This window comes from Homo sapiens, chromosome 3 (genome assembly GCF_000001405.40).
Source record: "Homo sapiens chromosome 3, GRCh38.p14 Primary Assembly".
NCBI lineage: Eukaryota > Metazoa > Chordata > Mammalia > Primates > Hominidae > Homo > Homo sapiens.
The window spans coordinates 196,234,065-196,251,444 of NC_000003.12; the positions used below are offsets into that span (position 1 = coordinate 196,234,065).

General features: G+C 47.2%; 1 protein-coding gene across 2 annotated transcripts in view, besides 1 other annotated feature; it reads right to left on the reverse strand.

Annotated features, from left to right (window-relative positions):
* Positions 304–17,380, reverse strand: part of PCYT1A (phosphate cytidylyltransferase 1A, choline) — a 53,359-nt gene continuing 36,282 nt past the window's right edge. For both annotated transcript variants that reach the window (NM_001312673.2, NM_005017.4), the window contains 6 exons: positions 14,143–14,259; positions 13,303–13,454; positions 8,498–8,576; positions 7,884–8,026; positions 5,483–5,671; positions 304–4,830 (listed from right to left, as the gene is read on the reverse strand). In NM_001312673.2, the coding sequence (NP_001299602.1) occupies positions 4,624–4,830; positions 5,483–5,671; positions 7,884–8,026; positions 8,498–8,576; positions 13,303–13,454; positions 14,143–14,259 (887 nt within the window). In that variant the 3' untranslated portion in view covers positions 304–4,623. The remainder of the gene's footprint in view (positions 4,831–5,482; positions 5,672–7,883; positions 8,027–8,497; positions 8,577–13,302; positions 13,455–14,142; positions 14,260–17,380) is intronic.
* Positions 12,711–13,910: an enhancer, noted in NCBI's record as "BRD4-independent group 4 enhancer chr3:195973646-195974845 (GRCh37/hg19 assembly coordinates)". NCBI's record gives its function as "activates an origin of replication core promoter dependent on BRD2, P300/CBP, MED14 and CDK7 cofactors, and independent of BRD4, by STARR-seq in HCT116 cells {active_cell/tissue: HCT116}" and the evidence as "EXISTENCE:reporter gene assay evidence [ECO:0000049][PMID:35650434]".

Below are 17,380 nucleotides of genomic sequence, written 5' to 3' on the forward strand. Positions count from 1 at the left end.
GTAATCCCAGCACTTTGGGAGGCCGAGGCAGGTGGCTCACCTGAGGTCAGGAATTCGAGACCAGCCTGCTCAACATGGAGAAACCCCATCTCTACTAAAAACACTAATTAGCCAGGCGTGGTGGCGCATGCCTGTAATCCCAGCTACTTGGCAGGCTGAAGCAGGAGAATCGCTTGAACCTGGGAGGCGGAGGCTGCAGTGAGCCGAGATTGCGCCACTGCACTCCAGCCTGGGCAAGAAGAGCAAAACTCCGTCTCAAAAAAAATAAAAATAAAAAATAAAAACACCACTGGACATGGAACATCAGGTAAAACCACACTGCCTTTATTTGGCTAAAGAACAAAATCCAAAATAACTCAGAACAAACTAAGAACAGACAGGAAAATTACAGACTGAACCCCACTTGAGGAAGACTTCCCCACGGACTCACACTGGTGATGGGGCGAACGTTCAAGACGAAGCCAGCAGTCCTTTCCAAGACTCTTTTGTCTTTTAGGGATCCTCAATACAAAACAACCCAACTAATCCAGGATATGTGTTCAAAACAGTCAGTTTTCCCCCTCAAAAGGCGGGAAGGCCCACTTCAAACCTCCAGGAACACAACCCAAGTCATCCCAGTGTTAAACCTGGTGCTTCCGTTTTCTGCCTCAATCCGAGCGCTAACATAAAATCTTGGCAGACAACAATCTTTCTTCTTCAAGAAAATTAACATTTAATGGTATAATCCCAAGAACATGTTCTACTTATTTACTTGGAAAAATAGAAGCTAGGGACCACTCTTTATCCGATGGCAGTCTATTCTATGAGAGAAAACAAGAACAATCATTGTTATGACTTTGAAAAATAGAACCTTTAAAAATACTTATATTGGTAAGCTTAAAAAAATATCATCAGTTAAAAACATTAAGGGGGCTTTCTTTTTCTACCTGTATTGGTTCAACTTCTGGTGAGAATGTGTGCTGATAGAAAATCTAGAAGCTATGGCTTTTAGGGAATTAAAGAAAAGCAGCAAAATATAATTGATTTGGAAAGATTTTGGATAAGTGATCTGGAACAGGATTAAAAAGGCAAAGAGCTCTTGAAAATAAGCTACCCATAGTCAAAATAATCCAGGAAGGGGGAATGACGCCCTATGAACCACTGTGGAAAGAACATCTAGAGATGGTCTGACCAGCTGTGCAGCCTCCAAAAAAAAATCACTATCGCTCAGGTGCAGCCCCCCAAAAACCACCATCACTCAGGTACAGCCTCCAAAAACACCACCATCACTCAGGTGCAGCCTAAGGAGTCATCAGTGATCAGAAAGTGGCTAAGTTTCCTTAGCCTCCCTCATATTTTTTCTCTTCTTCAGGATTTTCAACCTCCTCACATCCCTAACTTTCTTACCCAAGCCTCAGCAATATAATGGTCTTTGGCTCTAGCTATCAGCAATAGCTGCAAGAGCACAAATGATCCCTTCCTAGTCCTCTAAAGTGTCAACCTCCATTCTTCAGTGCTTCTGAATCTAGCATAAGACCAAGCTTTCCGTCCGGCCCACCGGAAGGCAGTGGCTGCGCCGGCACCTCCCCGGCTCTGGCCTTCTAATGTCTCACACACAGAGGCTCTGCTCTAAGGCCAACACTTCTGGCTCTCTCATCTTGGCCACATTTGGCCCACCCATGTTGACTGCTTTCTCGTGTGTGATTCAGGGAAACAGCTCCATAGCCTCAAACGTTAATATCTGAAGATTTAGATCCCAGGCATTGTGGTGGTGTGCACACCTCTAACCTCATTTAATTAGGCACAGATGACCACATTATGCAACTTCCCAACAGCTTTCTCCATCTACCCGTGCTAGTCCAGCACCTCAGACCACATTTACCCCAAAGTATCTAACAGGCCACACTATAAAAGATTTTAGCTTTCAGTCAGACAAATAGCTTTCAGTCAAAACGATTAGACTGAGGTGGTAGAAGCTCACCAAAAGGGGAAAGGGAGTTTCCCAATAACATGTACGTTTGCTGGCCCTAGCAGTCTCAGAGGCCTGTCAGCCTGCAGGTCCCGTTCCAAGCACAGGGCATGCCAAGAGCAGCCCACTGAGAGCAGAGGAAGAGGGCTCAAACATTTGGGACCCAGACAATATATTTAGGAGGTATGGCTCCAATAGGGAGGGAGGAGGAAAACCACGTTCCGGGCATCTCCCTGTCTATCCAAATACACTTGCATAATGTGCACTTGGAGGAACCAAGCAGATGGGCTTCAGCACAGACTTCACTGCCACACCACACCAGGGAGAATAAGTTAGACAGAAACAGGCAGCATTCCCAAAGAGAGAAGGCTGACGCAGAAAAGTTCAAAGATGAGACTATGTAACACTGGGTAACACAGGAAAACACTAACTTCAGCTGTTTCAAAGACAGACAGGATTCCAAGCCAAAGCTTGTATGACCAGATTTAAGAGTAAGAACTGCGCTTCAAAGAAGAGTTAGAAATGTCGTTGTCATAGGCGATCAGGATAACAAGAGGCTTCATTCTCCCTCGCCTCTGTGACGCTCTTTCTGGGTGATCCAAGTTTTGTTTTTTTTCTAGTTGATTATTTCTCTTTATTTCTGTATGTGTGTGTGGTTTTTGTTTTGTTTTGGAGACAGAGTCTCGCTCTGTCACCCAGGCTGGACTGCAGCGGCACCATCTCTGCTCACTGCAACCTCCGCCTCCTGGGTTCAAGGGATTCTCCTGCCTCAGCCTCCCAAGTAGCTGGGATTACAGGTGCCCACCACCACGCCTGGCTAATTTTTGTATTTTTAGTAGAGATGGGGTTTCACCACGTTGGTCAGGCTGGTCTCAAACTCGTGGCCTCAAGTGATCCACCAGCCTCAGTCTCCCAAAGTGCTGAGATGACAGGCGTGAGCCACCACGCCTTGCCTGGGTGATCCAAGTTTTAAGAACCAAGGTAGTCCTGCTGTGCAGGCAATGATTCTAGCCTCTGACCCTCAGGCGGAAAACTAGGTGTTACCAGAAAGTGTTTAGGGAGTGGACTATGAGATGCTCACAGTCCTAGCAGAGGCAAGGAAAGAGAAAATGTGGTTTTCTTAGCTGAAAACACTAAAATTCCACCCCCACAAGGGGTATTTATGAGTGACAGGGGTGGGGCCTGGACATAAGCAATTTTCCCCTGGATCTAGCCACAGGATTACTGATGGGTGATGATCTGCTAGGCCGCGTAGCTAAGCAGCTAAGGAGACAGGAGGCCAGGGCTTTAAAAGTTAGAGCATGCTCAACAGCAAGTGCTAAGCATTAGCATTCTTTGATTTGAAAGTCAAGTGTTGAATCCCCCCGGGCAAGCCAACAAGGCAGATGGAACCACAACCACCAGGCGTGTGTGAAAAGTGGGGAGAAAACCTACCACACTCTTGTCACGTGAGGGTATGCTCTGTGGCTTGCTGGAGGAGCAGCAGAGGGAGGTCCCTGCCAGCTGCAGCTCTCAGAGGAAAAGAAAGATGTGGAGCACTGGTTCCAGGGAAGAATGTTCTGAAGAGGGACAGAGGTCAAGGTGATAAGGCTGTTGCTTTAGAAAGGAAGGTGTTTCCTATGCTTTTGCCTTTACATTCTGTGCAAATCTCTCTAATATGGCTATGACCAAAATGGATTAACATCAAGTTCCAACAGCAGACATTTACAAAGTATCCTTTGTAAAAGGCTAGGTAATATTAATAGCATTCAAATAGGAGTAGCAGGGCCAGGCACTTACTCCCAGTAGGAAACTAATCTCAATCGACTTGGTATAGGATTGAGTATTGTCCCGCTCCTCTCCTCATCATTGTAACTCTAAAAGTGTTCCTTCCTTCGAAGGTAGATGGCACGAAAGAGACTGACAAAAGCTCCCAAAGAACTGGGTCACAGAGTTTTCTGAGAAGATGAACACAGCAGAAACACTGCAGTTGATGCCATGGGTCTGCTTCCATCCCCATCAGTGTCTTCATGGACCCCATTGGGTCCAACAAGAAACTCCTCAGGGAGTAAGAAAAGTTAGGTTCAGATCTCCTTCCCGCAGCCACAATGACACTGGTGACAGCAGTACGTTCAGGGGATTTGTGACTGTAACTCTGCTTTTCGCTTTTCCTTAAGGAAATCAAAATTAAGATATTTCTCCACAAATTACCCATCAGCGTGGCTCATTTCGTGAAGGACTTGGCAAGCCACATAGCTTCAGAACGGAAGGCAAATGCTATAGTATACCGGGAAGAAAAGGCCTCTGCGTATTACACTACCTCCTTCTTCTGCCCACTCCTCAGGGGCAAAAAATTAGTTCTACATTTGAAAGACGAATTTTTTAAAAAATTAATGAAAATGACAATTTCCCTGTTGAGATCACGTGAACATAAACAGTGAAACAAAGCCCTTGGGGGGGGGTAAATGGATGCAGAGCAGGCTTCTAAGGTGCAGTCCCCCTCCTTCGTGTGGGTGAGTGATGTCACTTGCAGGACAGGCTGTTTGGGTTCCCCCAGTCCTAGGTCTTCTTTCCCCAGTTGTCTTTCCTTTGTAGCTGTCCTTAGGTTTAGTGTTGGGGTCACAATTTGGAATTCAACAGAGAGCTTCTGAAGGTAATGGGACAGAAAGGGAGGACAGGAAAGGAGGGAGGAAACATTAGTCTTCTTCATCCTCACTGATATCATAGGCTGCAGCCTTGTGCCTGGAGAGATTTGCTGGGGAGCAAGGTGGGGAAGTCTTGCCGGAGAAGGGCCATCGGAAAGAGGGGGAGGGGGAGCGCTCGCGAGTAGGGCTGCTGCTGGGGCTCTGCTTCGGGCTGATGGCCTGCAGCATCCGGCCCTTCCCCTCTTTCAGCATATGTTTCTGCAGAAACCGAAAGGAAGAGTCAGAAAAACACCGTGGATCCTACTTAATCATCACTGAAGCATCTAGGACTGGGATAGTCTATGCTGTACTATTTATTTAAGGGTTCTCCCCTGCTGTCATCACCCGGGAAATTCCCCATTCTTCCTCAATAATCTAGTCTAGGATTATTCTAATTTATCCAAACACCTTCACAGACAGATCCTTCCTGATATCTAACCTAGGACTCACTTGCTCAATCTTTTATTTGGTTGAAAAGACTGCTACTCCTCAAAGACAGAATTCCCACCTTACCTGGGGTTCCTGCTGCAGCTACTTGTAGTGGAGGCTGCTTTCTTTTTATTGTTCTTTATTCTTTCCTTTCCTTCTATCTAAAATCATACCACAGATAAAAGCTGGGCAAGGCGACTTGCTTATCTTGTCACCAGACTTTAAGGTTGAGAGAGAGCTGGCAAAATTATCTAGGAGAATGTGTAACGTCTTTCTGTAAAGGTTTCAAAAACCTTGCTGGGGACAGTTGAAAGATAGTTCTGCCCAGATAAGGGGATAGACTAGATAACTTCTCAGTGTCGATGCCCCTTCCTGCTCAATGATTCTGTCATTCTTTCCACAACATGGAACTCCCTACATTGTCCAGTGGGAAAGAACATACCAGTGCTCCTTCCGGACCAAACATTTCCAGAAAACTTCCAATGAATTCTCGGGACTTCTCCTCCCACTTCTGAATGAGGTCAATGCTTTTTTCCTCCACCTTCTGAACAAATTCTTTTGACTTTTCCTCCACATCTTTCACTTTCTTCTTTACTTTGTCAACCCTCTCCTGCAAGTGGTATTTCTTCTCCTAGATAAAGAAATAACTCTTCTGAGAAATAATGCTCATCCTAAACTTCTCTACCATAAGAGAACGAAAAAACATGGCTCAAGCACTCAATTGACACTGTTTTCAGTCTAGAATTTTGCTTTGCTTTAATCTACCCCACTCTCAGCATAATAACAGATAAGATATGCTGTGGATGCACACACAAGAAGTGGTAATTCTAATATTGTGGGCATTTGGGAATAAACTAAAAATATAGGCTATACCCAGTAACAGGCACGTAGCCAAATAAAGTCAGAGTTTTAAAGATAAAACATAAACTTGGAACATAAACATGCGCAGCATGGCCCGAACCTCATTCCAGACGGAGATACAGAGGCAGCTAAAAGATCACTGCACAATACTGCCAAGAATAAACTAATTACAATAGATTGAAAGAGAAAATACTAGATCTTTTACTTAATTAATCTGCTTATTGTACTGGATTTTTCCCCTCTATCACTGGCTTATTCTATTATTTTAAATGAATTGTGTTTTTTGCTTTTTGTTCCTTTAGTATTTTAAGGTCCATTTACTCATTTGCAAAATGATGATACTCGTTGGTCTTACCAACTTTGCTAAAGATAAGGAAAATGGTATAAACCCTCCGGTGGAAGGGAAGGGAGTATTTAGTCAAATGAGAAGTATCCTTGGCCAGGCACAGTGGCTCATGCCTGTAATACCAGCACTTTGGGAAGCCGAAGTGGGAGGACTGCTTGAGGCCAGGAACTCGAGAGCAGCCTGGACAACATAGCAAGACCTCATCTCTACTAAAAATAAAAATATAAAAAATAAGCTGGGTATGGTGGCCTGTGCCTGTAGTCCCAGCTACTCAGGAGGCTGAGATGGGAGGAGCACTTGAGCCCGGAGGTCAAGGCTGCAGTAAGCCAAGATTGCGCCACTGTACTCTGGCCTGGATGACTGAGTGTGACTCTATCTCAAAAAAAGAAAAAGAAAAGTACTCTCAAAATTTCCAGATCATAAAGAGAAAAGGGATTATGTTTAGAATTTTTAAACACCTGATTTTTATGGGAAAAATAAAGCTATAGTAAGTAAATTAACAAGAGCTAGGGTTTATCTGCCTAGATAAATCATATTTAGATGTAATCATTTTATCCATTCTTATAGCACAATTTACAGAGATGGGAGTAGGTCAGGGAGCATGGTAAACTGGTTATGTAGAAGACATTAAAGTTAGCAGCTTTCTTCTTTTTAAATCGATTTTATTGAGGTCTAATTTACATACAAAATGTATAGTGTTGGCTGGATACGGTGGCTCATGCCTGTAATCCCAGCACTTTGCGAGGCCAAGGGGGTCCGATCGCTTGAGGCCAGGAGTTTGAGACCAGCCTGGCAAACATGGCAAAACCCCATCTCTGCTAAAAAAAAAAAAAAAAAAAAAAAAAAAAAAAATTAGCCAGGCCTGGTGGCACATGCCTGTAATCACAGCTATTCAGGAGGCTAAGGCACCAGGAGACAGAGGCTGCAGTGAGCCGAGATCACGCCACTGCACTCCAGCCTCGGTGACAGAGCGAGACCCTGTCTCAAAAAGAAAGAAACACTACATATATATATATTTGCATGAATTTTTTTAGTTTTTTTGTTTGTCTGTTTGTTTAGAGATGGGGTCTCGCTATGTTGCCCCCAGACTGGTCTCAAACTCCTGGCCTCAAGCAGTCCTCCCGCCTCAGCCTCCCAAAGTACAGGCATGAACTACCATGCCCAGAAAAATATATAGAGTTTCTAAAAGGCAATATTAAGCTAAGATAAACTTAACTTTCGTCAATCCAAATTTAAAACTCAGGTCTGTGTGGGAAGTGGTGTGTCGGGTGTCACTATCCACACGAGGAGGGCTCATAGCCTTTCGCAGGTTCCCAAGACATCATCCAACCGAAGAAGAGAGAGGAAGTTTAAGAGACACCGTTTTCCATTTATTGACAGAAATACTGCACTATATAAATTACTCATTTATTTAGTTGGCTGTATGGCTTTATACGAATGTGTTGGTACCAGACCGTAACGGCAGAAACTGTCTGTTTCATTCTTTTTGTGAACAGTTAACATAGTGGTAATTCATTCACTGAACTTTTGGGAGTGATCATCAAAGCCAACTGCAAAGCCAGTTCAGCTGAGATGGAGTGGGAGGTGATATGTCTCCTACAGAGTCAGGGAACTCTGGGGTAAGGCTGGAACTCACGTTGATAAAGCTGACATTGAGCTCCTTTGCTGTGTAGCCCCTCTGCAGGTTCCGCCTCGCATACACATCATAATCCCGCACAATTCGGGTGATGATGTCTGATGTGGAGATACCTTCTGTCCTCTGTGTTGGAGCAAACATGCCTAACTCAGAAACACATACAGACAAACACTGTGAGGTTCTGGTTAGCTCAGGTATTAAGACTAAATGGAAATTGGGGGCAACATTCCTTTCCTTTCCTCAAAAAGCAGAATCTGTTATTACTAAATGAAACTGAAAGATACTGATATACAGAAGGTAGACCGAATCAAAGGCCAGAGGTAAGGCAAAGAAGAGTTACATAGCCCTAATATTAAGAAAAATATGAGAAAGGGTTTCCTGAAATTAAGAGAGATATCCAAAGTAGATGTTTAGACCAAGAATTGATGGATGTCATGAACTGACGACAAAGAATTGATGGGTGCTATGCTCATCTTTACCTTTTATCCAAAATGTGGCCTGAAAGAGGATGTTGAATTTCTAATGTACACATTTTCCTCTGTAAAGCAGCAACATGGCTGAACATCTGCAGCTGCCCTGAGATCCCCTACAGTGAGGAAGCACAGCTCACTCACCTGCCTCCTTGATGTGCTTATAAACATCATCACTGCCAGCAGATGAATAAGGAATATCATCATGGGCTACAAAATCAATCTGAAAATAAGGAAACATCATTAAAACCCATGATAACTGCCATTCAGAAAGACCCAGTCAATGTTCTCAGGCCCAGAAAAAGGACAATAGGCAGAGGCCAGGCCTCAGTGGACTTCATATCTCTCTTTGCTTTGCTCATAAATTCTACAATCTATTCACAAACCACCCAACCTAATGATTTATGGAGTATACATATGAAGTTAGCCAGCTGCTTTTGTAGCTATTTCTCCTAGTCTGCTAGAACTGTTACCCTCACTCTGTATACCAGTCATCTTGCTGTGGTCAATAGGGCCAGAGGGTTTGCTGGTGAACCGGTTAGTGGGTGGAGCCTAGGAAAGAAGGAAATCTCCCTGTCCTGGGTCTGGAAGGATTTGGTCAAATAAGGGTTTCTAAAAGTATGAGAAAGGCCAGGCACGGTGGCTCATGCCTGTAATCCCAGCACTTTGGGAGGCCAAGGCGGGCAGATCACGAGGTCAGGAGTTCAAGACTAACGTGGCTAACATGGTGAAACCCCGTCTCTACTAAAAATACAAAAAAATTAGCCAGGCATGGTGGCGGGCGCTTGTAGTCCCAGCTACTTGGGAGGCTGAGGCAGGAGAATTGCTTGAACCCAGGAGGCAGAGGCTACAGTGAGCCAAAATCGCACCACTGCACTCCAGCCTGGGTGACAAAGCAAGACTCTGTCTCAAAAAAAAAAAAAGTATGAGAAAGAGGTTACTTCTTTCTTAACTAGTTTCTCTCAGTCCGTGAGAAAAGAGGGAATATAAAAATAGCAACCACGAGCCCTCTGACTGGAATAGATACATCTATTGGCCTGAGAAATACAAACCGAAGGCCATAAGAGAAGTTTTCTCCCTCTCCCCTCTCCCTTCTCCCCTCTCCCCTCTCCCTCTCCCCACGGTCTCCCTCTCCCTCTCTTTCTATGGTCTCCCTCTGATGCCGAGCGGAAGCTGGACTGTACTGCCGCCATCTCTGCTCACTGCAACCTCCCTGCCTGATTCTCCTGCCTCAGCCTGCCCAGTGCCTGCCATTGCAGGCGCACGCCGCCACGCCTGACTGGTTTTCGTATTTTTTTGGTGGAGACAGGGTTTTGCTGTGTTGGCCGGGCTGGTCTCCAGCTCCTAACCGCGAGTGATCCGCCAGCCTCGGCCTCCCGAGGTGCCGGGATTGCAGACGGAGTCTCGTTCACTCAGTGCTCAATGCTGCCCAGGCTGGAGTGCAGTGGCGTGATCTCGGCTCGCTACAACCTCCACCTCCCAGCCGCCTGCCTTGGCCTCCCAAAGTGCTGAGACTGCAGCCTCTGCCCGGCCGCCACCCCGTCTGGGAAGTGAGGAGCGTCTCTGCCTGGCCGCCCATCGTCTGGGATGTGAGGAGCCCCTCTGCCCGGCCGCCCAGTCTGGGAAGTGAGGAGCGCCTCTTCCCGGCCGCCCATCGTCTGAGATGTGGGGAGCGCCTCTGCCCCGCCGCCCCATCTGGGATGTGAGGAGCGCCTCTGCCAGGCCACGACCCCGTCTGGGAACTGAGGAGTGTCTCTGCCCGACCGCCACCCAGTCTTGGAGGTGAGGAGCGCCTCTGCCCGGCCACGACCCCGTCTGGGATGTGAGGAGCGTCTCTGCCTGGCCGCCCATCGTCTGGGATGTGAGGAGCCCCTCTGCCCGGCTGCCCAGTCTGGGAAGTGAGGAGCGCCTCCTCCCCGCCGCCATCCCGTCTAGGAAGTGAGGAGCGTCTCTGCCCGGCCGCCCATCGTCTGAGATGTGGGGAGCGCCACTGCCCCGCCGCCCCGTTTGGGATGTGAGGAGCTCCTCTGCCCGGCCGCGACCCGGTCTGGGAAGTGAGGAGCGTCTCCGCCCGGCAGCCACCCCGTCCGGGAGGTGAGGGGCGCCTCTGCCCGGCCGCCCCTACTGGGAGGTGAGGAGCCCCTCTGCCCGGCCACCACCCCGTCTGGGAGGTGTACCCAACAGCTCATTGAGAACGGGCCATGATGACGATGGCGGTTTTGTCGAATAGAAAAGGGGGAAATGTGGGGAAAAGATAGAAAAATCAGATTGTTGCTGTGTCTGTGTAGAAAGAAGTAGACATGGGAGACTCAATTTTGTTCTGTACTAAGAAAAATTCTTCTGCCTTGGGATCCTGTTGATCTGTGACCTTACCCCCAACCCTGTGCTCTCTGAAACATGTGCTGTGTCCACTCAGGGTTAAATGGATTAAGGGCGGTGCAAGATGTGCTTTGTTAAACAGATGCTTGAAGGCAGCATGCTCGTTAAGAGTCATCACCACTCCCTAATCTCAAGTACCCAGGGACACAAACACTGCAGAAGGCCGCAGGGCCCTCTGCCTAGGAAAACCAGAGACCTTTGTTCACTTGTTTATCTGCTGACCTTCCGTCCACTATTGTCCTATGACCCTGCCAAATCCCCCTCTGCGAGAAACACCCAAGAATGATCAATAAAAATACATAAATAAATAAAAGAAGTTTTATCCTCAGGATCTATCATTTCACTACTTTTTTTTTTTTTTTTGAGACCGAGTCTCGCTCTGTCGCCCAGGCTGGAGTGTAGTGGCACAGTCTCGGCTCACTGAAACCTCTGCCTCCTGGATTCAAGCGATTCTCCTGCCTCAGCCTCCCGAGTAGCTGGGACTACAGGCGCATGTCACCCCGCCTGGTTAATCTTTGCATTTTTAGTAGACAGGGTTTCACCGTGTTGGCCAGGCTGGTCACGAACTCCTGACCTCAAGTGATCCACCTGACTTGGCCTCCCAAAGTGCTGGGATTACAGGCGTGAGCCACAGCGCCTGGCCATTTTACTGCTATGAATATCCTTTGCAAGGGCAAGAAGAGATGAATGATACTGGGGATCAATAATGTTGTTCGGAGGCGTGCTAAACTTCACTTACTCCTTCCTGTATGGGCCACCAGCCTTTTGCTGATAATTACTAAGATCACTATACCATCCCCGAGAGACCACTGTAGTGTGAAGCATGTTCATTGGGACTATGTCAGAGACTCTCAGCCAGCATCTCAATTACTCATGAACAACTTGTCAGGGATCCATAGGCAGCAAAGTAAAGAATAGGAGGCCGGGTGGATCACCTGAGGTCAGGAGTTCAAGACCAGCCTGGCCAAAACGGCGAAACACTGCCTCTACTAAAAATACAAGAAATTAGCCGGGCATGGTGGCGCGCACCTGTAATCCCAGCTACTCGGGAGGCTGAGGCAGGCGAATCACTTGAACCCGGGAGGCGGAGGTTGCGGTGATCCGAGATCACGCCATTGCACTCCAGCCTGGGCAACAGAGCAAAACTCTGTCTCAAAAAAAAAAAAAAAAAGAATGGGACAAGCAAAACTCAAGGTTGAGTATATATTGTTAACAAAGAGAAAAGGGGAGTTAGAAATTCCTCTAACTTCATACTTCTGTCTGGGCCTGTGGGCTGTGGTGCTGAGAATAAACTTGCTTACCACCTTTGGTGCCACTGGCTGCTAGGTGTTGATGTAGAAAAGCCAGAGAATTATAAAAGGTCTGTCCTAATCCTCAATAGTTTTAATAAATATCCCCTCTTCAGGCCTACCCACGTATTGCTTTAGAAGCACTTTGGCTGCCTTCATTCTTTCTGCCTCACTGAACAATTTACCTACAACATTCCACGCGCCCCTGTAGAGAACTGACAACATGCTTGCTATTTCCTCAGGCTTGGGGGCCTCTAACCTGGCCTAATCAATCCTTCTCATCTTTTGTACCCACCTTTTGCAGGAAACCTGTGGCTTTTTTTTTTTTAAAGTAGAGACAGGGTCTCGGTATGTTGCCCAGGCTGGTCTTGAGCTCCTGGGCTCAAGCGATCCTCCCACCTTGGCCTCCCAAAGTGCTTGGATTACAGGCGTGAGCCACTGCACCTGGCTGAAATCTGTTACTTTAATGTGGGAGAATTAAAAGGAGGTAAGGGGTTGATAATAACTTACTGAGAAACAGTGAGAAATATCCTTGATTTCTGATTCCACCCAATTTCTAGCATAAGATCAAAGCCCTGAAATGAAACTTAAGCCAAGAAAAGTCTATGTTAATCCGTCTTATTTCCTGGTAATGTGACCGTCTTCAGAGTTCACCTGGGGCTATGGATATTCTCAGGAGACTGGCATGTTCTAAGGGTAGATGTGCCTATGGTGTGGGGGGAAGGTCTCGTAACTGGTGAGTTCAGTTCCCAGCCCTGCCAGTGGTGTAACTTGTGGCGAGTTCAGTTCCCAGCCCTGCCAGTGGTGTAATTTGTGGCGAGTTCAGTTCCCAGCCCTGCCAGTGGTGTAACTTGTGGCGAGTTCAGTTCCCAGCCCTGCCAGTGGTGTAACTTGTGGCGAGTTCAGTTCCCAGCCCTGCCAGTGGTGTAACTTGTGGCGAGTTCAGTTCCCAGCCCTGCCAATGGTGTAACTTGGAGCAGGTTATTTGGTTTCTCTAGCCCTTGTTACTCATATGTAAAGCGGAAATGACAAACACACCACAGGATTGCTGTGGGCAGAAAATGGAATAGAATGGATGTAAAAGTGCTTGCAAACCATCCAGCCCCATATAAACGTCAGGGGTGACTGTTATCACTAGTAATATCACTGTCATCTCCTACGAAACTTACATAAGAGGTAGAAGTAAAACACGGCTAGTGGAAAACCAGCCTACGTGCCAGCAGCTTTGAGAGTTGAGGGGATTCTGAAACAAGGAATGGGAATATGTGTCCAGTTTCTTACCCGGTGTTCGGCCAGGAACTCGGGTGTCAGCGTCCAGGGCGCATTCCTCACCACCTCATCCACGTAGCGGCAGTGCTGGACTGCGTCATAGCGCTCATTCTCGTTCATCACCGTGAAGCCTTTGAAGTTGTGTGTGAGCTCATCACTGCAAACTGGTTCACCACATCATAAATTGTGTGTTGGAGTCCTCTTTGCTTAGCACCTCCTCAGCCACCGACCTCTCCCATCTTCTCCCACTGCTTAGGACTGCAACCATCTTCCCCAACTGGAAAAAAGTCTTCTAAAGGTGGTTGAACCTGGGTGATAACGCTTTTCCTAATGCAGCGTATACCTTCAGGAGCAACACTCACTAAACAGTATGTTCATACTTTGGAGAAGGGACAGTACAACAGGTGACCAAGATCTTTGACTCTGAAATAAACCTGCTGTGCGTGTCTGCATCAATTAAGTCCTTAAACATGTTTTCCTGTTTTATTCACACTGGACTGGACCACCTAACATTTCCTTGGCAGACTTTTGTACTCCAGTTAATTCAAAATGATAAACTGAAATCTAAAGCAAATGTTTTAAAGTGGACAACGGAAGTCACGGCTGCTCCTGTGACCACAGAAACTCAGCTACAAGCAGTGAATAAATGCCAGATGGCACAGTCGAGGAGCTTGAAGCTCCTCTCTCCAGGTTTAGTTTGCTGGTACCCATATACTTCATGTGTGTTAGAGAGGCTGTACTACATCCTTCATTTAAAAATGGAAACAAGAGCCAGTGTACTCAGCTGAGAAAGACAGACTGTACTATCATCTTTTTCTGCACAGCACCTGAAGTCACCAAATGTTTTCTTACCTCCCACAATGAGGTACGTATTAGGGAAAAGGTTCTTCGCTTGCATCAGAGCTCGGGCGTGACCAGAGTGAAATAAGTCAAATATTCCATCGGCATAAACTCTCACAGGTCGCTCACCTAAATCCAAATGAAAGAATTGATCACAAAAATACCTTTTTTTTTGTCATTTTTATTTTTATTTTTGAGGCCGAGTCTCACTCTGTCACCCAGGCTGGAGTGCAGTGGCGTGATCTCGGCTCACTGCAACTTCCGCCTCCTGGGTTCAAGTGATTCTCCTGCCTCAGCCTCCCAAGCAGCTGGGATTACAGGTGCATGTCATCACGCCTGCCTAATTTTTGTGTTTTTAGTAGAGATGGGGTTTTTCCTTGTTGGCCAGGCTGGTCTCGAATTCCTGGTCTCAAATGACCCGCCAGCCTCAGCCTCCCAAAGTGCTGGGATTACAGGTGTGAACCACCATGCCAAGCCACAAAAATACATTGATTCGATATCTTGTACTTGGCAAATGGAACTGGCTCTGTGTGACAGTTCCATGACTGTATACTCCTTTCTTTTTTTTTATTTTTTTCTTGAGACGGAATCTCGCTCCATCACCCAGACTGGAGTGCAGTGGCACGATCTCGGCTCACTACAACCTGCAACTCCCGGATTCAAGCGACTCTCCTGCCTCCGCCTCCTGAGTAGCTGGAACTACAGGCGCCCACCACCAAGCCCAGCTAATTTTTTGTATTATTTTTTAGTAGAGATGGGGTTTCACAGTGTTAGACAGGATGGTCTCGATCTCCTGACCTCGTGATCCACCCGCCTAAGCCTCCCAAAGTGCTGGGATTACAGGTGTGAGCAACCGCGCCCGGCCCAACTGCATACTCCTTTCTTTAGGTGTTCTCTGGGTATTCACCCTGATTTTAGGGGTAGGTTGGGTTATGAAAAATGACTATAAAGACCTTTTCATTTTTTTTTTGAGACAGGGTCTCACTCTGTCATCCAGCCTGGAGTGCACTGATGTGGTCACAGCTCACGGCAGCCTTGACCTCCTGGGCTCAAGTGATCCTCCCATCTCAGCCTCCCAAGTAGATGGGACCACAGATGGACACCACCATGCCCAGCTAATTTTTTTTTTTTTTTTTTGTAGAGACCATGTTGCCCAGGCTGGTCTCGAACTCCTGGACTCAAGCAATCCCACCTTGGCCTCCCAAAATGCTGGGATTCCAGGTGTGAGCCACCATGCTCAGCCTATAAAGAGATTTTTGACATCATCATCTGCACTAACTGCCTCTGTTAGCCTGGTTGTACCAAACTTTTCAGGCACAACAAATAACAGAGAACTGTCAACTTAGAAGCCAGGAAATGATTTCCCGGGGAACAAGACTAATTCCAAAGTGAAATAAACATTAAAAACAGAATCAGCATAATGGTCCATCATGCTTTAAATAATAAATCTAAGGAGTCCATGTAACTTATTCCCTTTCTGTGAATAAAGGAAGAGCTATTTTACTGCAGCAGAAACTGACAGGAGCATTTACATCATTTGGGAAAGATAGGTCAAAGTGTCATCAGATACACTATGCTGAGGTTGAGGATCAGATACACCATGCCGAGGCTGAGGACCAGATACACTATGCTGAGGCTGAGGACCAGATACACTATGCTGAGGCTGAGGACCAGATACACTATGCTGAGGCTGAGGACCAGATACACTATGCTGAGGCTGAGGACCAGATACACTATACTGAGGCTGAGGACCAGATACACCATGCTGAGGTTGAGTACCACATACACTATGCTGAGGATCAGGTACACCATGCCGAGGCTGAGGACCAGATACACCATGCCGAGGCTGAGGACCAGATACACCATGCCGAGGCTGAGGACCAGATACACCATGCCGAGGCTGAGGACCAGGTACACCATGCCGAGGCTGAGGACCAGGTACACCATGCCGAGGCTGAGGACCAGGTACACCATGCCGAGGCTGAGGACCAGGTACACCATGCCGAGGCAGAGGACCAGGTACACCATGCCGAGGCTGAGGACCAGGTACACCATGCCGAGGCTGAGGACCAGATACACCATGCCGAGGCGAGGACCAGATACACTATGCTGAGGCTGAGGATCAGATACACTATGCTGAGGATCAGATACACTATGCTGAGGCTGAGGATCAGATACACTATGCTGAGGCTGAGGACCAGATACACTATGCTGAGGCTGAGGATCAGATACACTATGCTGAGGATCAGATACACTATGCTGAGGCTGAGGATCAGATACACTATGCTGAGGCTGAGGACCAGATACACTATGCTGAGGACCAGATACACTATGCTGAGGCTGAGGATCAGATACACTATGCTGAGGTTGAGGACCAGATACACTATGCTGAGGCTGAGGATCAGATACACTATGCTGAGGACCAGATACACTATGCTGAGGCTGAGGATCAGATACACTATGTTGAGGTTGAGGATCAGATACACCATGCTGAGGTTGAGGATCAGATACACTATGCTGAGGCTGAGGATCAGATACACTATGCTGAGGCTGAGGATCAGATATATTATGCCGAGGTTGAGGACCAGATACACTATGCTGAGGATCAGATACACTATGCTGAGGTTGAGGACCAGATACACTATGCTGAGGATCAGATACACCATGCTGAGGTTGAGGATCAGATACACTATGCTGAGGCTGAGGACCAGATACACCATGCTGAGGCTGAGGACCAGATACACTATGCTGAGGATCAGATACACTATGCTGAGGTTGAGGACCAGATACCCTATGCTGAGGCTGAGGACCAGATACACCATGCTGAGGCTGAGGACCAGATACACCATGCTGAGGCTGAGGACCAGATACACCATGCTGAGGCTGAGGACCAGATACACCATGCTGAGGCTGAGGATCAGATACACCATGCTGAGGCTGAGGACCAGATACACCATGCTGAGGCTGAGGATCACATACACCATGCTGAGGCTGAGGACCAGATACACCATGCTGAGGCTGAGGACCAGATACACCATGCTGAGGCTGAGGACCAGATACACCATGCTGAGGTTGAGGACCAGATACACCATGCTGAGGTTGAGGATCAGATACACTATGCTGAGGCTGAGGACCAGATACACTATGCTGAGGCTGAGGATCAGATACACCATGCTGAGGTTGAGGATCAGATACATCTCCTTCCTGTCTTCAGGGCAATGAATGAAGGAGAAGGAAAGTAGTTCTCAGG